At 40.6% G+C, this 23,375-nt stretch overlaps 1 long non-coding RNA gene across 1 annotated transcript, besides 1 other annotated feature; it reads left to right on the forward strand.

Annotated features, from left to right (window-relative positions):
* Positions 1 to 4,098: 4,098 nt before the first annotated feature.
* On the forward strand, positions 4,099 to 23,167 carry LOC105376396 (uncharacterized). The gene is made up of 3 exons (XR_930637.2): positions 4,099 to 4,221; positions 21,324 to 21,456; positions 23,000 to 23,167. It is a non-coding gene; the product is annotated as an uncharacterized LOC105376396 (long non-coding RNA).
* Positions 21,211 to 21,711: an enhancer, noted in NCBI's record as "H3K27ac hESC enhancer chr10:8441548-8442048 (GRCh37/hg19 assembly coordinates)". NCBI's record gives its function as "activates a minimal SCP1, AML or CMV promoter by ChIP-STARR-seq in primed H9 embryonic stem cells {active_cell/tissue: H9 hESC(primed)}" and the evidence as "EXISTENCE:reporter gene assay evidence [ECO:0000049][PMID:30033119]".
* Positions 23,168 to 23,375: the final 208 nt, after the last annotated feature.

Genomic DNA, 23,375 nt, shown 5'->3' on the forward strand with positions numbered 1-23,375 from the left:
GTACCAGGAGGAAATAAAATCCACTTTCTTTTTCACTCTTCCACTATGGCGGCTTTGTCTCTCTTGGGTATTTGGGCTTCTGTGTATTTGCAAGGCTTATTTTTCAATAGAGCGGGCAGGGTTTACAAAGTCGAGGAATTTCCATCTCCAGCGCTGTTAAATCACGGCTGAAATGGCTAGATCATTTGTTTGTTGTAAAAGGGGGAAAAACACATTGGTTATTACAGAAGTGGCTGTTTCCAGCCCATCTGAACAGGAAGACTGCAGCCTCTGGCAATGACTGAATTCAGGGGACTCAGGACATCTTGGTGTCATTTAATTATCTCAAGACCCAAGCCCCTTATTCTGCTACATTCTGTGCTTCTCCACGTGGGGACTTCCTCTGGGTCTTGGCTAACGCACAGGAATTTGATGTTTAGAAAGTCACTTTCCTGTCCTTATAAACAGTCCCACCATAATAACCTGGCTTCTGGCACCAGAAATTCATTTAAATTTCGCTCAGCTTGCTTTACAATTAAGATTTAATTAGTAAACTCATTACAAAGGCAGGAAATCTCTGACTTTCCCCTAATTCTCTTTTAGGCCTCAGCCATGACCCAGCCTGTCCCTCTGTCTTTTAGACATTTGCAGAAAGTTTTCTCTAAACATTGTTATTTATGTCACTGTAAGTCCAAGATAAAATATTGTTCTTCGCTTTTGAAAATAGATGGAAGTAACCTAGTCACTTAGCATTTAGGGTTTCGAGTTCTTTATTTAGAAAATATTCCTCGTTCGTATTTTTAAACTTGCTAGACTGAGAGTTTGTTTGGATCCTCCCAGGTTTTCTCAGACAGTAGAAATAGGGATTAAGGTTGGGGGTGGGGGAAGGAATACCAACGGGACAAGGAGCTTAGCTAGGAGTATAATTACCCCATGGTATCACCCCCAAAATGACACAGGACACTGGGCTATTTTACTGTTACGCCTGAACCAAGAACACAGGAAAGGCAGAACTCTGTCTCTGCAAACCAAGGCAAAAAATTCATATTTTGCTAATGAAGAAAAGCAGAAAAGCATCTGCCAGAAAGCTCAGAAAAATGGGGGTGTGGCTGTGAAATAAATGCACGCTCAGTTGAGACAGAGCTTTGCAATGTGAGAAGCCCAGGACTAAAACGTTTTAGCTGATAGATAGATAGATAGATAGATAGATAGATAGATAGATAGATAGATAGATATACATAGATATATATATGATATATACATATATATATGACAAAAGCTAGATAAATAAATTCATGCTGAGAAAATGAAGTCCCTGAAGGAAAATGATAGAAATTTTTAAATCAGAGCTTAAGTGTTATTGATATACTTGATGCAATAAGACATTAAAACATTTACTTTTACCCCACAAAATGGCAAGCATAGGACTTTTAAAAGAAAAATTTCCTTTTCCTTTCAAATGTCTTCTTGGTTATTTTAGCTTGCCACCTGCAAAAAGCTGAAGCCCTTCATGTGATCTTTGGTCCTGAAGGCAAGTTTTACATGGTTAGATGACTGATTCCTTTTTACAAAGTCAGTTCTTAAAAATTTACTCATTAGCAGTAACTGTAAGTTGTCTCTGATTTTAAAGATCTATTTGAAGAATTAAATATTTTTAAATGAATTTAATTGTTATGAGGGGGGCTTATTTTCTAGTGATTTCTATGATCTTGCTATATTTTTGGACTAACAAGGGAAGAAAATATGGATCAGAAAGGCTAAGCAACTTTCCTAAGGTCACACAGCAAACTTGTAGGCAAGGCAGAACTAAGCTTTGTTTGTTTGTTTGTTTGTTTCAATTCTGTGCAGAGCTCTGGGCAAACTCAAAGGGAGAAGTTATTAGTAGCTGTAAAAATCAAGCCCTGACAGTGGGTGTTTCTCTTGGACAGTCTCTGTATTTGATGTTCTGACAGCTTTTATGAGGCTTTGGAATGTGTCAATAGATAACACTGTGACCCCGAGGAGGGAGCAAACCAAACCCTTTCCTCTGGGAGTTCTCCTCCACTGTGCTGCTGAAAATTTGCAGGCACAAGAGGAAATTCAAAATTTACTTTCAAAATGGTTCAGAAGAGCTTGAGAGAACACGAGGCTCCAAAGGGAACTGCTCAAATTCAGAAGAGTGGAAAAGTCAGATAACTGAACTGCACAGTTTCCAATCACCTGGAAGCTAAAAATAAAGGCCTCCTCTCCCTGTCTCCTCGGCCCCGGGTTCAGAAGAGTCAGGAATCAATGTAGGAACACAGGACTTTTGCCCTGGTGAGATTTCAGTTGTCCCTGGAGATGCTGTGCGAGGGACCCGATGTCCTCAGGAGCGTCAAGGGAGTGCCTTGATCAGGCAGGGGACTGTAGGCTGGGCGTGGTGATTCATGCCTGTAATCCCAGCACTTTGGAAGGCCTAGGTGGGCAGATCACTTCAGGTCAGGAGTTCGAGATCAGCTTGGGCAACATGGTGAAACTCCGTCTCCACTACAAATACAAAAATTAGCCAGGTGTGATGGTGCATGCCTGTGGTCCCAGCTACTCAAGAGGCTGAGGCAGGAGAATCACTTCAACCTGGGAGGCAGAGGCTGCAGTGAATTGAGATCATACCACAGCACTCCAGCCTGTGCAACAAAGTGAGACTGTCACTGCACCCACCCCTCCTCAAAAAAGAGAAGGTTGCTGTGCAGATGGCTAGGGCAGTCCCTCAGGAAAAGGAGGCAGAGAACCTGGAAAGGAGGGCAGGGACTAGGAGGATGCAGCAAGGAGTTCTAAAATAACAGTAATAATAATAATAAAAAGCAGAAATAATGAGGGCACACAGGAATCTACAACTCCCAGGAAAGCTTCAGCCCCGAGAAAGGTATAACTGCTCTCCAGCGATGACTGTTTTCAATTGAGGTTTCATTTAATGGAAGCTCAACCATTAGAAACCACAGCAGATGTCCCTCCAAGCTGCCTGAAGTGCAGCAGCAGTAAACAGAAGGAGAGCTGAGCCAGAGTTTCCTAATTTCTCTAAATAAGGAATTCTACTTGGGAAGGTACATGCAAAAAAATTTTTTGCTGGAGAGGGCATCCTTAGCAGTTGTTGTCAGAGTCATAATAACCAAATTCACTGTATGAACCTTGACTAAATCCTGTCTGGAAAATAACAGCCATATATATATATAAAATATATACATATATAAAATATAAGTATTTTATATATATATAAAATATAAGTATTTTATATATATATAAAATATAAGTATTTTATATATATATAAATATTTTATATATAAAATATAAATATTATATATATAATATAAATATTTTATATATAAAATATAAATATTATATATATAAAATATAAATATTATATATATATAAAATATAATGTATATAATATATAAATCTAATGTATAAACATATATTTATATATAAATATTAAATTAATATATAACTATATACATAATTATATATGTATATTTTATGTATAATTATATATTATGATATTTATAATAATTTATAATAATTATATATTTAATATTAATGAAATATATTTATATATTTATATATTAAATATATTATATAATAAATTTATAGATATATAAAATTCTGGTACCTTCAGAGACATTTAAATATGGAGTATATATTTTAATAGATTATATTATGGAATTATAAATTTTCCTGGGTATCATTATAGTATTGTGGTTAAGTAGAAGATTATCTTTATTCTTAGCCAATGCATGCTAAAATTAGGTTGAAGTACAATGATGTCTGAAACTTAGAAAGAAGTGTGTGTGTGTACACATACACATATATAAATATATGTTTATGTATGTGTGTATACGCACACACCTATTTAAGCATTTGCCATGCAGACGATGGTTGAAAGAATAATGAAATCACTAGGTTTCTATATAGAAAATTAGTTAATTCCTTCGTTATTTGACATTACTAATAGATTAAACAAGAATAGCAAACACTTACACTATATGCTATAAGCGTATTGCTATATACTGGCCCTCCGTTAAGAGCTTAGTATGTGTGAGTATAATATACATTCTTTTTGTTTTGTTTTGTTTTGCTTTTAGAGATGGGGTCTTGCTATGTTGCCCAGGCTGGTCTTGAACTCCTGGCCTCAAGTGATCCTCCTGCCTCGGCCTCCCAAAATGTTGGGATTACAGGTGTGAGTTGCTGTGCCCGGCCCTGATACACATTCTTTCTCTAAGCCATAGACAGGTAAGCTACCCAATGTCCTACAACGCCCACACTCTTGGAGGAGTTGGGATTCAAAATCCCAAAGATCTGATGTCTGAGTTTTGCTTTTACCTTCTATATCATACTTCTCTATCCTTACACATACAGGCAACTAAAGAGCAAATGTTATGTTTATTGGATCAAATTCTAGAATTTACCTTAGTCGGAAGTCCCAATTTAGAACCAGGGAGGGGACCTGTGTTCAGAAGTGATTGAGTAGAAAGGAAGTGGGACATACACTTAGAGCAGAGTGTGGTTCCTTCAGGTGGATGGTTTCAGCACCTTCCAGCCAAAGCTGGGAAGAGTCAAACTAACATCACCCTTAGAAAAAAAAAAGACAGAATAGATCTCCAAAGACCTGAACTAGGATTAAAAGTGTTTTGTCAAAACTTGCATTTCAAATCAAGTCAGTGTGCATCATTTTTGCAATATTCTTTGTGTGTGTGTGAAGAGAGAAAGAGAGATTGAGAGAAGAGTGATGGCTAAACTGGAAAAATGCAAGTTCATTAAAAAAAATTCTATTAACTGCTTAAAAATCTGCCTGGAGTCCCAGGAGACAATCCTTCACTTTTCTCTTAGAACATGCCCAGTCCATGGTTTATGTAAGCTGGAAGAGCTTTGTCTCTGGGTTCTGTCTGGATTTGTACATCATTGTATTGACTTCCTTTGTTTTGCATGTCCAAACATACAAACCCCTCAACTCTTGACCTTTTTCTTTCTTTTCTTTCCTCTTTATGTTTTGAGTAGAGTAGAGATGTAGGAAGCTTTGCCACGCTTTTTGTTTTGTTTGAACCCCAGAGTTAGGAGCTACTCAAACACTGAGACTCATAGAAGAACATAAAATTCTAGGATTTTAGCCAGGAGCAAAATTTTGGAAAAGTCCTTCCTTCATCTGCTGAGATTCCACTTCACTGAGCATCCTGGAAGTGTGGGCTCCTTGTAGGACTGGCTTCAATGTGTAAGCTCTTCAACATCTAGCTTGAGGCCATGCACAAGGTGAGTTCTCTGCACACGTATCACCTGAACTGTGGTAGTCAAATAGAACACCCAAATAAAAACTACTTGATTCATCTTACACGTTGACCCAACATGAACAATTAATACTTCTGTAGAGCTTTGAAGTTCGATATCTGCTTGGATGCACAAAACAATTCAATGAGGTAGCTATATGTATTAGTCCATCCTCACACTGCTATCAGGAACCATCTGAGATTGGGTAACTCATGAAGAAAAGAATTTTAATTGACTCAGTTCCAAAGCTTAACCAGAAGCATGGCTGGGAAGCCTCAGGAAACTTACAATCATGGCAGAAGGTGAAGGGGGAGCAAGCACATCTTACTATGGTGGAGCAGGAGAGAGAGAGTGAGGGGGGAAGAGTCACATGCTTCTAAACAACCAGATCTCGTGAGAACTCACTCATCATCATGAGAACAGCAAGGTGGAAATCCACCCCATGATCAAATCACCTCCCACCAGGTCCTTCCCTGAAACTGGTAATTACAATTTGACATGAGATTTGAGTGGGGACACAGAGCCAAACCATATTGCTATAAATATTCCTTTTTACAGATTATGATTCTGTTTTATTTCCACAGGTTTGGGAAGGGCATATGAGACTTTATAGCAGTTAAGCTACCCATAAGTTTCTATTACCTATTTAACTAGAATAGTATCAGTGGTTTTGTCAATCCGTTAGTCCAGCACATATTTATTTAATGTTCTTTATTAATGTGACATAAAGTACTATGGAGGATCAAAAAGTAAAAAATAAACAGTCCCTGCCTCCAAGGAGCTTATGGTATAGTTAGAAAATAAAGGCAACACATCTAGTCTTCAAAAGATGATGAATAAAATAAAACATATAAGGCAAGTGACAAATAAATGCTATATATTTAACAAATCTTTTCAGTATTTACTACATTCCAGGCATTATTCCAAGGGCTAGGAATTCAAGAGTGAACAAAAGAGACAAAAATCCTGCTTGCTTAGCACTGGTGTTCTAGATGGGAAGAAAGACAATAAACAAATAAGTTGTCTAGCCACGGTGGCTTGTGCCTGTAATCTGAGTACTTTGGGAGGCTGAGATGAGCTGATCACCTGAGGTCAGGCGCTCAAGACCAGCCTGGCCAACAGGGTGAAACCCTATCTCTACTAAAAATATAAAAATTAGCTGGGTATGGTGGCACCCACCTGTAGTCCCAGCTACTTGGGAGGCTGAAGCAGGAGAATTGCTTGAACCCGGGAGGCAGAGGTTGCAGTGAGCCGAGATCGTGCCACTGCACTCCAGTCTGGGCAAAAGAGTAAGACTCTGTCAAAAACAAACAAACAAAAAGACAATTAACAAATAAGTAAACATATATTATTGAAAAGCACAACTAAAGAAATTAACAAAGCAGGAGAGGATAGTAGCTGCTGAGGTTTGCAGTGGTTAAAAATTTAATTAGGATTTCTTAGACAAGCCTCATTTAACAGTCATTTGAGTAAAGACCCAAAGGAAGTGAGGAGTGAGTTACACAGCAGCCAAGCGAAGAGCATTTCAGGCAGAGGAACAGTCAGTGCAGTGGCCACAGAGAGAGCTCTTCAGATGAACTGAAGAGGAAGACAGAGGCCGATGTAGCTGGGGTGGGTGAGGGAGGGAATAAGAAGAGAAGAAATCAGAGGAACAGCTGGAAACCAGATCCTGTAGGGCCTTGATTATGGCAAGGACTCTGGGCTTTACTCTGAGTGACATGGGGAGTCCCTAGATGCCTCTAAGCGGGGAAGTAACATAACATGACTGAGAAAGGGGCAAGGATAGAGCAGGGGAACCATCGGAAAATGACTGTCTAATAATCCAGGCCAAAACCACGGTGGCTTGCAGCAGGGTGGGAACATGGAGGCGGTGAGAGGTGGCCAGGCCGGACTTGGAGGGATTAGAAGCAGGTGGAAGAGAAAGGGAGGAGGCAATGTGCATGACAAGTTTGGGGTCTGAGTAATTGTAAGAGTGGGGCTGCAGAAGGCAAGACTGTCAAAGAAACAGGTTTCAGGGGATGATGTCCAGAGCTCAGTTCTGAACATGTTAAGTTTGAAAAGCCTATTCAAAGGCCAGTCCTGGTGGTTCACACCTATATTCCCAGCACTTTGGGAGGCTGAGGCAGGAGAATTGCTTGAGGTGAGGAGTTTGAGACCAGCCTAAGCAACATAGTGAGACTCCCATCTCTACAAAAAAAATACAGATATTAGCTGGGTGTGGTAACACGCACCTCTAGTCCCAGCTACTCAGGAGGCTGATGATGGAGGATCACTTGAGCCTGGGCAACAGAGCGAGACCCTGTCAAAAAAAACAAAACAAAACAAAACAAAAACCACAAGAAACAAAAAATCAGGCTATTCGACCTATGAGTGGGAATATCAACCGGGAAGTTGGATGTGTGAGTCTGGATTCAGAGGAGAGGTCTGGACTGGAGTTATAAAGTTGTAAGGACCAGAATATAGATTTCATTTAAAGTCATACAACTTAAGTTAAATTCACATGGGGAATGGATATAAATAGACAAGAGGAAAAGTCCAAGGACTGAGCCCTGAGGTCCTCCACTATTTAGAGGTTAGGAAAATGGGGTGGGGGACAAAGGAGCTTGAGAAACAAGGGAGAAGCACACATCAGTGGCTGCTAAGTGAAGAAAACTGGTTCCAGAGGAGAGTGATCAACTGTGCCAAATGCTACTGATAAGTCAAAAAGAATGAGGACTGAAGATTGGTGATAGGATTAGCAAAATGGAAGTCATTGGTGACTTTGATAAAGTAATCTCAGTGGAGAGTGATGAGGTGAAGATGGACCTGAAGTGCTTCAAGAGGAAAATGATAGAGGGAAATCGTAGACAGCAAGCACAGAATTCCAAGGAGTTTTTTTTCACAAAGGGAAAAATAAAAATGGGGAGAGGGCTGGAGGTAGAAGTTGGGTCAGAAGCACTTTTATGTTGTTGCTATTGTCTTTCTTTATGAAGGCAAGAGAGATAGTATGTTTGAATACTGATTTAATTATGCAGGGAATTTTTTTTTTTTTTTTTTGAGACGGAGTCTCAATCTGTTGCCCAGGCTGGAGTGCAGTGGTGTGATCTCGGCTCACTGCAACCTCCACCTCCCAGGTTCAACCGATTCTCCTGCCTCAGCCTCCTGAGTAGCTGGGACTATAGGTGTGTGCCACCACACCTGGCTAATTTTTTAAATATTTTTAGTAGAGACAGGGTTTCCCCATGTTGGCCAGGCTGGTCTCGAACTCCTGGCCTCAAGCCACCTGCCTGCCACAGCTTCCCGAAATGCTGGGATTATAGCCGTGAGCCACCATGCCTGGCCTATGCAGGGAATTTTAATGATGCAAGGAAAAGAGGGGCGATCTGATGCAGCAACATTCTTGAGCAGTGAGAGGCTGGAATCTACTGCCCAGGTGGAGGGTTTTCTTTGTTAGGAGGATGGAGGGTTCAGCTCTCGCCACAGCGGAGAAGGTGGATTTGAGAGGAGTTAGGTGCCCATCTCGATAGATACACAGGACAAGAGGCTGTGCCAGGGGCAGCATTAGGTCGCATCCAATATTATTCATCATTGATTTTAAATCAATGAGAGAACAGTTCGTTTAACTGTGTGCCTTTCTCTAGCTGTACTGGAATGCCTGGGTGCAGTGGTGAGAGAGCTGGGTCTCACTAGGGCTGGGATTTTGCCAGGTGAGCCAGAGGTGAGGGAGTTGAGGCGTATGGAAGGGAGTGATTTTAGTGAGTGTCTATAGAATTAAAATGGGTAAGGAAGGTAATTAGAATGAGAAGGGGATACACGAAATAAATAAATAGGGATAAACAGAGTCAACAACATGGAGGTTCCCGTGAGATTCAAAGTGGCTTTTTTTTTTTCCTTTTTTTGAGTTTCGCTCTTGTTGCCCAGGCTGGAGGGCAATGGCGCGATCTCGGCTCACTGCAACCTCTGCCTCCAGAGTTCAAGTGATTCTCCTGCCTCAGCCTCCTGAGTAGCTGAGATTACAGGCGTGTGCCATCACACCTGGCTAATTTTGGATTTGTAGTAGAGACGGGGTTTCTCCGTGTTGGTCAGGCTGGTCTCGAACTCCCGACCTCAGGTGATCCGCCAGCCTCGGCCTCCCAAAGTGCTGGGATTACAGGTGTGAGCCATCGCACTTGGCCTTTTTTTTTTTTTTTTTTTTTTTTTTTGAGACAGGGCCTCACTTTGTCACCCAGGCTAGAGTGCAGTGGCATGATCTTGGCTCACTGCAGCCTTGACTTCCTAGCCTCAAGATATTCTTCCACTTCGGTCCCCCAAGCAGCTGGGACAACAGGTGCAGGTCACCTTGCCTGGCTAAATTTTTGTATTTTTTGTAGAGATGGAGTTTCTCTGTATTGCTCAGGTTGGTCTCCAACTCCTGAGCTCAAGCAAGGAGCCCATCCACCTAGGCCTCCCTAAGTGCTAGTATTACAGGCATGAGCCACCATGCCCAGCCTGAGTTATTAGAAGGGGCAGATTGGAAAGAAAGAGAGTGGTGGCTAAAGAATTGGGCATTTGCAATGAAAATACTGGTGAAGGGATTTCAGTTATTGGTTATGATGTGATTAAGGGAGTGCCTGTGGTTAAGGGGTGAGAGCACTAGCTGCCTGGCATAGAGGGTGTCACGGAACTGAGAGTGGATATTGAAATCATGAAGAATTATAATGGGAGTTTGTTGGAGAGAGTGGCTTTTGACTAGAAGGGAAACTCTTTAAGGAATTAAGGGATAATTGGGGAGAGGGAGCAGGATTGAGTATTGTTTGCAACAAAGAGGGGTAATTGGTGGTAAGGTTCAATGATATAGGATTCGAAGCTTGGATTTTTAGGCAGGAGGGCAGGAGAATAGCCTAGAAACAACATTGAAGAGGGGAGGGAGATGTGGCCCACCGCATCTCCCAGCCCAGGGCTAGAAAGAAGTGAGTTGGCTGCAGCTTCAGCAAGATGTCCAGGAGAACCAGGTTCCCACTGGAGCAGGAGCTTGGGGATATGAGGGAGTTTCCAGATAGTTGAGTGTGAATCCCAGAAGGCACAGGGAAAGGGTTTCAAAGGATGGGGAGGGGGCTGGGCGCGGTGGCTCATGCCTGTAGTCCCAGTACTTTGGGAGTCCGAGGCGGGTGGATCACGAGGTCAGAAGATTGAGACCATCCTGGCCAACATGGTGAAACTTCGTCTCTACTAAAAATACAAAAATTAGCTGGGTAAGGTGGCATATGCCTATAGTCCCAGCTACTCGAGAGGCTGAGGCAGGAGAATTGCTTGACCCCGGGAAGTGGAGGTTGCAGTGAGCCGAGATCATGCCACTGCACTCCAGCCTGAGTGACAAAGCGAGACTCTGTCTCAAAAAAATAATAATAATAATAAATAAATAAATAAATAAAAATAAATAAATAAAAATAAAAATGGGAGGGGAGGGGAAAGGAAATGGATGGGCTTAGAGAAGGCCATGCGGCCATGCATGAGTGGAATGGGAATTAGAGTCTAGGAATAAGGGAGAGCTTGGCAGTGCTGAACTTCCAACATGACCTGGGGTCAAGGGTGTGGTAAGGATAGCCTTGGTGGTCCCAAGTCAGATAGGGAAGACATGTGGGTGTGGAGGTCAGGGAGAGTGAAGGGAGAGTTTCCAGGAGCATGGAGCCATCTGAGGCTCCCCTTGATTCCTTCAGATGGGAGACCTGGAATCCTGAAGATAGTCTTGGCCTTAGGTTGAGAGCTCTCTCTTGGCTCCTGCCAACAGTGGCCTGCCTCGGGATTCTGTTACTCTCATCTTCTGGGCAAATGCTTGCACTTTCATGGTAGAGGCATCCATAAGCCTGCCATAGGTCAATCATCCCTTCAAATTTGAGCCTGCACCAGGCTCCAAGGTGCAACTGGGTACTGGATGTACTAAGACAAAGAAGGTTAGCTGGTTCCTGGCCAGTTCCCACCATTAGTATCACAAATGGCTGCAGACGAGTTTTTCTACCTTTTCATGACAAGCATTGTTTAGATGATTGACCTCTTAATGCAAACTTCCAACCCAGCTCCAATTTTTGAAAGAATTTTATTATCCAATTAAATAGACAACATTTTTTGCTCCATTGAACTCCAGAGCTGAATCATCTGACCTGACAGACTGGAGACTGGGTTAGGATGTGAGGAATCACTTTCCTCCCTTACCTCCTCAATGGTATTGCCCCTAAGGCTTGGCTATAGAGAACCAAGTTCCCAGGGACAAGAGGACCATTCTTTGTTCAAGGATAACTAAGTGGCTGAATCATCACGTAAGCTCTTAAAATCCATTTTCAGGAAGTAATCATTCATTTCCTCATTTTTATTATTCAAAGCAAATAAAATGGAATGTGCAATAATGAGTCCAAACAGCGTTTGGCAAACAGCAAATGACAGTAAGAAATAGTAAACTAATTCATTTAATAATATGGTGAATGGCTTTAGTTACATCATGTGTCTTCTTCAAAAGCAACACTAAGTTCTTAGAGGCTCTTTGAACTACTGAAGAGAGCCATCAGACTCCCATTAAGATTTGGGGATTCAAAGACCCCAGCTAGAGGTTCCCTGTGGCATAATTAAAATGTATAAATAAATGCCCCCAGGCTTTCTCCTATTACCAAAGATTATATCCTCAGATTCTTAGCTGCCCTTAAGGGTTTAGGGAACTTGAGATTTAACAAAGATGGAGAGTTATGCATATTTGGGGAATTGGAAGAGAAAGGAACATCATGAGAAAATTAAATAGATAAGGACACGCTTAAGATGATAGGCTACTGCAATAAGAGCTCTGCTAAGGAGATCAACTACTAAAAGCTAAGACATGAACAAAATTCACCCACTTTCTTCTGTTGCTGAGTAAAGCTTTTTTTGTGTAGGCCTGGAAAAACTAACAAAGCAACCAACAGAAAAAAAGCTCAATTTCCCGCAGATTGCCACCAAAATCATAGTTTTTGCTTCCTAGCAACCAGCCGTGAATTTGAATATTTAAGAAGTATGATTGGAGTCTCCAAGATCATCCTGATCAAGTATGGGTGTCTTTGGAATAGCAGTAACCCAAGGAGAATTTCCCAACTTGGATTGGGTATTGGAGTGGGCACTGGATTGGGTATTGGAGCAAACTGTTTACTCTTTTTTAAAAACCATCTTCATTGATAGTTTTAAAAACAGCGCATGTTTAACATACACAGTTTGATGAGTTTGGACATATGCATACACTGAGAATACTATTCCAACAATCAAGTTAATAAACATATCCATCACCTCCAAAAGTTCCTGGTGTTTTGTTTTATTTTATTTTATTTTATTTTATTTTATTTTATTTTATTTTATTTTATTTTGTGGTAGGAATGTTTAATATGAGCACTACTCTCTTTAAAAAAAACTCTTAGCACTGTATTAACTATAGGCTCTGTGTTGTATAGCAGCTCTATAGAACTCATTCATTTCGTATGACTAAAACTTATATCCATTGAATAACTCCCCACTTTCCCCCAGCCTCTGACAACCACCATTCTATTCTGTACTTCTATGAGTTTGACTATTTTAGAGACCTCATGCAAGCAGAATCAGGCTTATTTCACTTAGCATATCTTCCAGGTTCATCCATGTTGTCACAAAAGATAGGAGTTTCTTCTTTTTTGAGACTAGATACTATTCCACTGCATGTACATACCACATGTTCTTTATCCATTCATTTGTTGGTAGACATTTGGGTTGTTTCCACATCTTGGCTATTGTGAAAAATGCTGCAGTAAGCATGGGAGTGCAGATATCTCTTTGAGATGGTGATTTTAATTCCTTTGGATATATACCCAGAATTGAGATTGCTGGATCATATGGTAGTTCTATTTTGAATTTTTTGAGGAACCCTCATACCATTTTCTGTAGCAGCTGCGTCATTTTACATACCCAGCAACAGTGAACAAGCATCCTGATTTCTCCATGTCCTCACCAGTACTTCTTACATTTTGGAGAAACATCTATTCTGAATGTACAATACCTTATTTGAAAAAAGTATTTTGCGTGGTGGCTCACACCTGTAATCCCAGCACTTTGGGAGGCTGAGGCAGGTGGATCATGATATCAGATCAAGACTGTCCTGGCCAACATGGTGAAACCCCATCTCTACTAAAAATACAAAAATTAGCCAGGCATGGCAGTGGGTGCCTTTAGTCCCAGCTACTCAGGAGGCTGAAGCAGGAGAATCACTTGAACTCGGAAGGCGGAGTTTGCAGTGAGCCAAGATTGTGCCACTGCACTCTAGCCTGGACGACAGAGCAAGACTCTGGCTCAAAAATAAATAAATAAATATTATTTTCATTGCAAAAATAACATAAAATAATTTTTTACAAAGTTGGCTTGTCCTGAATAAGTGATTCTCCCCCTTAAAGACATAATCTCAACAGAGCAAAGGAATCTGTATGGGAATCTTAGCAGATGAAAGCATGGGATTTTTATCCTTATAGAAAGAGGGTAGTGTTAAAAAAAAAGAGTTGAATAAAATGGATCTAAGGCATAACAAAGTTGCCCAACAGAATATTTAAGAATCTGTTTTTTAAAAAATAACAGTAGCTTGTCTTGCTTATTAACAAGGTGAAGTAGGAGCAGACCAGTTTGTAGTACGCAGAAAATCACAGTACCTATGTCCAAGCACTTTCTTAAGTAAAATAAGTTATTGCATCTGACATACTTTGTCAGTTTGTCAACAGCTTTGAAGCCACGGAACTCTTCTGAATCATGAGATTTGATCCACAGGCCAGTAGGGAAAAAAATTTTCAAATGAGTAACACATTTCTGCCTTTTCCTTGAATTCTGTATTTTTTGTTGCAGTACTCACCAGTGATTCAAGTGTGTTTAACCTGAAATGAAACTCTTCATTTTTCAAATTGCCTATGCTTGTGTCATAGAAAGTTCTGGAAAGAACTGTACTAGCTTTTCAGTCCACTCATGTTTAGAACAAAGAGAGCATTCTTTGTTTTATCCCCTTGCCTGTTTATTTGTTTTACTTTACATTTGCTTTCAGGAACCAAAAGGGTATGCTTTCAAAAACTGCTTCTGATCAACATTTAAAACATTTTAAATGAAATTCCTGGATTAAATGGAACTCTCTTGACACTGATTACTAGTAACTCTATGAACATGCAGTTTTGATGATACTCTTGGTTAATAATAAGTAAGATTTGTTCCAAGGAGAAATAAATCACCATCTAAAATATTGGGATGGGGGAAATCTACATTTCTTAAAAAGAGTGGCTAATAGAATTATTATTCTACTCTTCTATTATTTTAGGGGCATTTGGCTCCCCTTATGATGTAGGGCTAACCCTCAAGAAAAACAACTCCATGACTAGAGTTTCACAGCAAACAATGACTGCCAACCAGTCTCCTGATGACTTTTGTCTTTCTAAATCTAATCCCGTGATAAACCTCTGGCTTCCTACACTTGACGTGCCCCTCTTTTACTAGTCCCAAATCCATCAGGCACATTGTGGTTGGCTCATTGTGAACAAACACAACTGACAGTTTCCTTCCTCAAGGTAAACAGTACTGGTACTTAGACACAGTTCAAAGGGTTTATCACCCCAATGTGGCTATTCTTTTTTGGAGGACTAGCGAGGCTACCTTTAACTTCTAATTAAACTACTTTATTCTCTCTACTGACATTCCTAATTTTTACTAGTAGTAAAATACTATATAATTAGTCAATCAGTGGCCTGTTTTCACAACGCCCATTTTTTTTCCTGTTTTTGTTTTTCCTCTGCTCACTGCCATAACAATTAATCCCTCATCCTCATTGAATTTTGTTACCAGTTGTGAAGGCAGCATTGCACAGTTAATGGCAGGGGTAGCACCGCCGATGCCATTTTGGTGTTAGATTTCTCTCTGTTTTAACCCTGGATAAATGACTCCTAATCTGGCCAACCTGGTCTTTCTTTGGCCTTTCTTCTGGTCATTTTCATAGTTATCATTATGTTGGTTCACTGGAGGAAAGATGGAGAAATGCAGGGGCCTCCCCCAGTAGAGCGGAACCTGGAGGTGTGTGATGTCATGCCAAGTCCCTGGAAAGCATGAGCTCCCTGAAAACAATGCCCTGCTGGCCAGCAGGATTCCACAACTGCCAAATGAGGACGCCTTCTCAAGCTCCCCAGAAGACAGACCCTTCATATTTCCTATTGTTTCTTCAGGCACTTGCTTCCTTCTGTTTATTCCAGTTTCATAAACCAATGAGTCATGCAACTTACTTCTGAGTCCAAGCAACTTCCCTCCTCAGGTTCATTTTAGAACAAGCCCCATCAGAGATTGGAGTGGTCGCTGGGGAAGGAGTTTTGTTTTGGGTTTTCCCTACAAGCTGGGCATGGTGTTATCATCTCGTAGAGGAGAGTGTCTGAAGGAAAGGCCTCCAAGAGCCTTTTTTGCTTCTTTGATAGCAAACTTCTGAGAACCACTGAAGCGAATCCCCTCCTGGCTTCAGGACACTAAGCTTCAGGTTTGGGGTATCATTAGCTGATCATTAGTTTACATGCTGGGGGGATTTTCCTAACACAACATTCATTATCAAAAATGGCCCATCCCATCCTTTAGGTAAGGGCTGTAAACAGCCAGGAAGGCAGGGTGGGGGTGTTGTTTAGGAAGCTTCCCCCAGAGTGTGTGACTCCCCAATGTCCCCATTCCTGAGAGGCAGTGGGGGTTGAACAAAGACCCTGCAGACAAAGTGACTGGAGGTCCAAGAGGTTGTGCTGCTGGTGCTACACGAGGGAGAGCCAGCTCACACCTGTTGGCTGGGAGATGACCTCTGGCTGTCCTAGAAGCTCGTCTACTTCACTGGTTAAGGAGGGATTCTTCCATGCAGGTGGAAGGAAATGAGAAAATGGACGTTTTATAGGCATTGTAATCTGTAAAAATAGGAGATATATTTCACTTTCAGAACGGCATAGTTTTTCATGGCCAGGTGCAGTGGCTCATGCCTGTAATCCCAGTACTTTGGGAGGCTGAGGCAGGTGGATCTCCTGAGCTCAGGAGTTGGAGACCAGCCTGGGCAACATAGTGAAATCCTATCTCTACCAAAAATGCAAAAAAATTAGCCAGACATGTGCCTGTGGTCCCAGCTACTGGGGAGGCTGGGGTGGGAGGATCACTTGAACCCAGGAGGCAGAGGCTGCAGTGAGCCAAGATCGCACCACTGCACTCCAGCCTGGGTGACAGAGTGAATGAGACCCCGTTAAAAAAAAAAAGGCATAGTTTTTCATTTTTGTTTTTCAAGGGTATAAAAGATTTACCACCCAGGTTTATGTGTAACCACCCATCAATGGTAAGGATAAATGGCTAAAGACCTTGTCTCCTGATGGGATTGAGCTTTGAGCTAGAGTTCAGAAGAGGTGGGAGCAGATAGCTCTGGCCTGGGGGATTCCCATTTTAAGACCCTTCCTTATCCCCATACCACATCCCACCCCACAACCCCTCCAGCAACATAAAAACCTTATTTGGGCAGAGAGATTCTATAAAGAACTTTCTATTCCATATCAGGAAATCTGGGTTTTGGTCCTCTCTCTGTCACCAACTTTGGGGAAACCTTAAACTTCTCTCTGTATGCAGCACTATCTTCCATCTGAGAAGTAGGAAAAAGTCTATCAGGGAACCTTAGATTGTTACTGGAAAGCAGAGAGTGCCATTTAAGCTGGCCCTGAAGGTGGAGTCAATATTAACCAAGGGAAGTGGGTAGGATGAGAGATGAGGACAAGAAGAGGGTGCTCCAGACAGACTCCATGGCACAGGCAAAAGCTCTGAACAGATAGAATTTCTGAGCAGTCAAGGGAGGAAAGGACAGCCATGTGGCCAGAGCTCAGGTGGGCTCTGGGGGTGGGAGACCAGGCAAGAGGGAAGTAGACAAGGGAGACAGAAACCAGAACAGAAGCTGCTTGAAAAGTATTTTAAAGACTAATCTTAACCCAATAACAATGGGAACTCATTGAAGTGTTTTAGCAGGGAACTGGCTAAATGACAACATAGCACAACCCTATTCTCAACTCACTGACATCAAAGAGGTTGACTGAAGCTCAGAGAACTGTGAACTTCATGGACCTAACACAATTTTTTGAATTGAAGAGGTAAACATAATATTGCAAATTTTTCATTTTGCCACAAAAGGGCATTAACTAAAACAAAAAAAAAGTCTATCATCATCAACACCATTATCATCTTTTCATTTTTTTTTTAAAAAAAGACATTTAAACAAAAATGAAACCAAGGAAAGACAATCTCAGCATAATGTATTATTTAAATTTAATTAGTTTGGCTTTGTGAAGAAAAACTACATTGTTGTTTTATCATTATTTAGTCTTGGCCCTGGGCAAACTTTTTCACAACTTGACATTCATTAGTGTACTGGCATTTGAAAATCATTGGTCAAGGTAGTCAATGCTCTGGATGATGACAACAACAGCAACAACAAAATACTAGGCAGATGTAGATGTCTTTATGGGAGAAGAGACATGTGCTGAGGTTGGGGTGGTTAGGGGTGAAGGGAATGAAAGTCCCTGAAAATGCTTGCAAAATAATAGGCTCTCAAGAAATGCCAGTTGCAGGAGGATCGCTTGAACCCGAGTTCGAGACTGCAGTGAGTCGTGATTGTGCCACTGCAATCCTGCTTGGATTGAGACTCTGTCTCAAAATAATAATACTAATAATAAAAATAATAACAAGACATGCCAGTTGAAGCTTAAGTTGAATTTGGTAATAACAGTAATAGCTAATCTTTATATAGTGAACAATTATGCTTCCATTGTTTAATTGATGGCTGCCTAGAGGTAGATAAGACAGGTATTGTTCCCATTTTACAGATGAAAAAGCTATTTGAGAGGTTACATGACTTTCTCAAGCTTACCAGTAATTATACAAACTGTGAACTCTGATCTATTGACTTGAAAGGAAGAAGAAGGAGAAATGTCACAGTGAGAGATGAGTAGGTACAAATGCAAAAGGTAGAGGGATTTAAGCAAGAGATTTAGGCTAGAGTGGAGTGGAGAGAGAAAGGGAAGTAGAAAGTAAGAGAGTGGTTTGTGTCCTTATTTCCCCACTGCTTTTTCAGGACAGGAATGGCTGAGTTTTAATTGGCAAAGTAACATCTGTCAGCATTATGAACGGATTCCCAAAACATATACATGGAACAGATTCCTCTGAGATTGAGCCAAATCTGCTGTATTTCAACTATCTGTTACACATCCTGCCCTCAACTGATGTTCAAAGCAAGACTGACTTTCTTGCTCCACCCAACACACATTCCAACTGCCTCTCTCATGCTCTCTGCATAAGTTGGTATGTATTTGGAGGATGAAAACTAATTTCAATACAAGTATAACTACATATATGCAGAGTGGCTCATCTACTATCAACACATTATATGATGAATTCCAAAGTAAGACAAAATTTTTGTTGACATTTGATTGTAGTGTGGCACCATGAAGAGATCACTGATTTTGGAGTCACACAATTCTGAGATTGAATCTTGACTCTGTCACTATTAGCTGTGTAATCCTGGGTAAGGTACTTAGCTTATCTGAGTCCTTTTAACTCATAATGTTGCTAAAATCATTACAGAAAATTCAACAAATTTGCTTATCAACAAATATTCATTGCATGCTTACGGTGAGCCAGGAATATTCTAACATTGAAGACGCTAATAGGGAACAAAGCAGATGAAGTGCCTACCCTCAGAGAGTTTGCACTCTGCAGTTATAACTGATGTGGGCCAGGTACTGTGCCTGACACATCTCAGATACCTAACCAACATTCTTATCTTCTGGGGACTCTACCTCGTAAACACTACTAAGAGAAGACTGACAGCATTATGCTTCGCTTCACTGGATGGAATGGCTTCAACTTCCAGACTTGTGCTGTCCAATATGGTACCAGTAACCACATGTGGCATTTGAGCACTTGAAAAATGACTAGTGTGATTGAGAAACTAACTTTTTCATTGCATTTGATTTTAATGACTTTAAATTTAGATTTCAAACCTAGAGCAGTGTAAAATATTTTTATGATAAACACACCGTTTTTGTTTTGGCAGGGCTATATTTTATTTTAACCGTTGGAAATTTAGCTTCTGAATTTATTTGTGCTGCAAGTATAACGTACACGTCTAATTTTGAAGACTAGGATGGAAAAGAATGTAAAATATCTTGACAATCTTTTATATGGTCTACAGATTGAAATAATATTTTAGATGTATTGGCTTAAATGAAGTATATTACTGACATAAGTTTTACTAGTTTGCTTTTTTCATGTGGCTATTAGAAAATTAAAATTTGCATATAAGGCTCACATTATATTTCCATTGGGTAGCACTGCTATAGACCATGCTGAAAAATTTTCTTTTCTATTATTAGAATGGTCTTTTAGAGTGTGCTTATATGAGAGGTAAAAAGCCATGTAACTATGAGTCACACCCACAGTTGCTTTAAATACTTCGAAGCCATGTAAGATAATTCAGTTTGTATGATGCATTTTTAAAATGAAATTGACATAAAATAATGTCTTAATTATGTATTAAACCTCTCTTACCACCATTTGTTGAAACAACACAGAAGAAGAAAAGTAACAACATCACAATGTCAAAAAGGGAAATGGAAGAATTAAATAATCATTGCTGTTTTAGTAATTACACCTGGAATCAGGGATGTTGGAGAAAGTGACGGATGAGCTCTGTCTTTTCATGTGGAGGAGTTGGTTGATACTGCATTCTAATTAATTCTCTAAGTTCCAGATACTGGCTAGAAATTAATACATTTCTTTTGTGACCTTTATATTTGATAAATAACAAATTACTTTGTCAATTAAAAGAAACGAAGTTGACACATGCATTAGTCCCCATATCTAATTTATCATGGTGTTGGAAATAAGTAATCCATCCCTTTAATTATTTATTCATTAAGAAAGCTCAAGAAACTTAATACACAATTTCATTTCTTTTTACATGGTATCCCTATTCAGAAATGCTATGGGAAAAGAAGTCCATCATTTGTAACTAGTTAGACCTTAAGCACCCAAATTCTTCTGAAGGTCTAGACCCCGCCCAGTCAGGAAATAAATGCATGGATCCTTCCTTTGTTTTTGGTGAGAAGACAGAACATAATAGGAGAAAGAAGAATAAAAATCAAGTTTTTGATGGGAATTTGAAGTTCTAAGGAATTAACTTTCTAACTAAATGAACATTTTAACTTTCTCACTGAACTCTAGATGAACTTAGGTCCAGTTATCTCTGGGATTCTTGGGCTTCATTCTGGGCTGAATTCTGTTTCTCAACTTTATTCTGATATAACTCACTTCCTTTAGGGCTCCTCGTGATAAACCCAGGGCAGATTCTATTCAGCTGTCAATCTCAAGGAAGTCCTTGTAGGTTTCAGATTTAGGATGTGTGTGTGTGTGTCCTTAATATGCATTACATTACTGTACATACACTGTTTAATCATATTTATCACAAATATTTAATCCCAGCAAAAGTTTTAGATTAAGGTTTAGAATACAGAAGTAGTTTTCATGGTCATATAGCTAGTAAATTGCAGAGCTGGGTTGAAACTCAGGTCCTTCTGACTCTACCCAAGTCTTTGTAACTGCTATCCCAGTATGAGCTTTTAGATGAAACTGCTTGCAAAAATCCACCTTGAAAATAATTGGCTGGGCAATATGATCATGCACTTTTGGAGGCTGAGGCAGGAGGATTGTTTGAGGCCCGCAGTTTGAGACCAATCTGGGCAATATAATGAGATCTTATCTCTACAAAAAATCAAAAACATTAGCCAGGTGTGGGTGGTGATGCGTCCCTGTGGTCCTAGCTACTCGGAAGGCTGAGGTGGGAGGGTCACCTGAGCCCAGGAGGTGGAGGCTGCAATGAGCTGTGATGGCACCAAAGCCTGAGTAACAGAGCGAGACCCTGACTCAAACAAAACAAAACAAAACAAAACAAAACAAGAATAAACAAACAAATCAAAAAAAGCAAAGAAAAGAAAGAAAGAAAATCTGCTACATGGATGATATTTTTTTCCTTCTTTCTTCCTTTTACCTGTAAATGGAGATAGTAGGATAGTAGAACCGACCATCAGCAGGATGTGTTGCCACAGAAGAAATCGATATTGTGCTAGACTTCATATCAGGAAGCTGAGTACAGATGGACTGACTCTCATCAATAAACGCCATGGGAACACAAACCAGGTATTCTATTTTATTTCATTTTTTGCTCTGAATCAAACCCAATGAACAAATATTGACTCTCTGTAAGACTTTTATGCCATTAAGGCCACAGTTGAAATTATCCTCGCCATCTTCTCTATTTCCTTCTTCCTAGCCCCCGGGCTGTCACCCCTGGCATCCTTTCTATGCCTGTTTTCTTATTCTGTTTATCTTGATGAGACTATCTGATGGAAATCTGCTTGGTGGGAACAAAAATTGGTCAAAAACTATGGGCGTGGGTCCCCTCTTTGGTTCTGCTGGGTGTGTGAAGTGAGGCAGGAAGGTATAGGAAGGGCTTGGGAGTGGGCAGGAATGGGGAAAGGAGAGGCTCCGAGACAAAGGCATTTGGGGTGGGTGACTTTGTTGTGCCTGGACCTCCTTTGTCTGGGACTGTGGAGAAGATAAATACCACAGTTCCTGGGATGAATTACCCAGCTGCAGAGCCATCCTGGCTCCTCAGGAAAACATATGCCCTTTGCTCTGTCATCTTCGGGGCAATGACCAACTTCCCTCTTTTGTGCTCCCTAAGGGCTTCGGTTAGAGGTAAATAACTTACTTAGCTAATGTACCCTCTGGTGGAAAAAAAGGACGGAGTCTAAAGACATTCCGAATGACCCAGCCGGTGGCTGGAGGTAAGAGGAAGGTGAACAACTGCCCCTCATTCTTGCAAATTTGTTTTGGTTTCTATTGAATTTTGAATGACTGGAATCTGTTACTATAAACATATTTTGTTATGTAAATGCATCATCAGCCCCCACCTCCCCACACACCTCTTCCAATCCCCTCCAAATTCCTAAATTAGAGAGCAGGTAAACAGTAGTTAGAAAACGCCTAAAGCAATCGACCTGTGTTAATCTCACCCAGAGAACAAAATCATGGAATATGTGATTATTTTAGAGTTAAAAACGAGGCGTTTTCATGAATCAGCACTTGGGAAAGCCTCTTTGGGATTTTCTGATTGCATAGTTGAATCACTTGTTATTGACCAGCATGCTTTCTTACCTAAGTATGGGGAACAAAAAGAATCAGGGAGACTTTTACCCTCGAAGAGTTTTCAGACTGAGGAGCTATGCTGTCTACAGACTCCAAGACAGGGTATGTGTTGATGTGTCTTTGTATTGCCAGCACCTCACAAGGCCAGGCACCTGCTATGCATTTCAGTATACAGGGATTGAGTGAATAAATAGCATACTTAATAGGAGAATAAGTCTATGCTAAGTGCCAAGTGACGGATGACTCCCAGAGATGCTCTAGAAGACAGAAGCAGTCCCTGTGGAGTGATCAGAGAAGGCTGCTTAGAATATTTGAGCTAGCTCTTGCAAAGGGAATAAATAAAAGGAGTGAATGAGGGCATGTTCCTTGGAGCTAGAAAATAGTGGGTAAATTGAGAATCTACTAGTCCGAGCTTGAAAGAGTTTATGCTGGAAGTAAGGGCAGGGGGAGGATTAATAAAAATCAGAAAACACCCTGAAGAGGGTCACGTGGGTCAGGAGCATTGTAATTATGATTTTTCTTTTTGTTGCAGGTCAACAGTGGGGTGAGATCAACGAACGCTGCTGTTGTTATTTATGATATGGAGCTGGTATGACTCTAGGTCTGGTTGAACTCTTACCTCTAGTCTGGAGGGTATAGAGGTCATGCATGATTTAATGCAGGTCATGGCCATTTCCAGGGAGAAGAGCAGCCCACGAACCACTGGGGGTATGAATGGCAATGTCTTTGCCTTGAAGGATGGTACACTTATTCCTTTGAAGTGCTTTACTGAATATTTAAGCCTATTCTCTTCTGCTTGACTTCTTGTTTTTTTCTTTTATTTTTTTCCTGTGGAATGGTTGACTCAGTTGAAGAGTTCATTTGGTCAGTAATTGCAATAGGATGTGGGTATTTTCCACATCCTTAAC

This window comes from Homo sapiens, chromosome 10, assembly GCF_000001405.40.
Source record: "Homo sapiens chromosome 10, GRCh38.p14 Primary Assembly".
Lineage (NCBI taxonomy): Eukaryota > Metazoa > Chordata > Mammalia > Primates > Hominidae > Homo > Homo sapiens.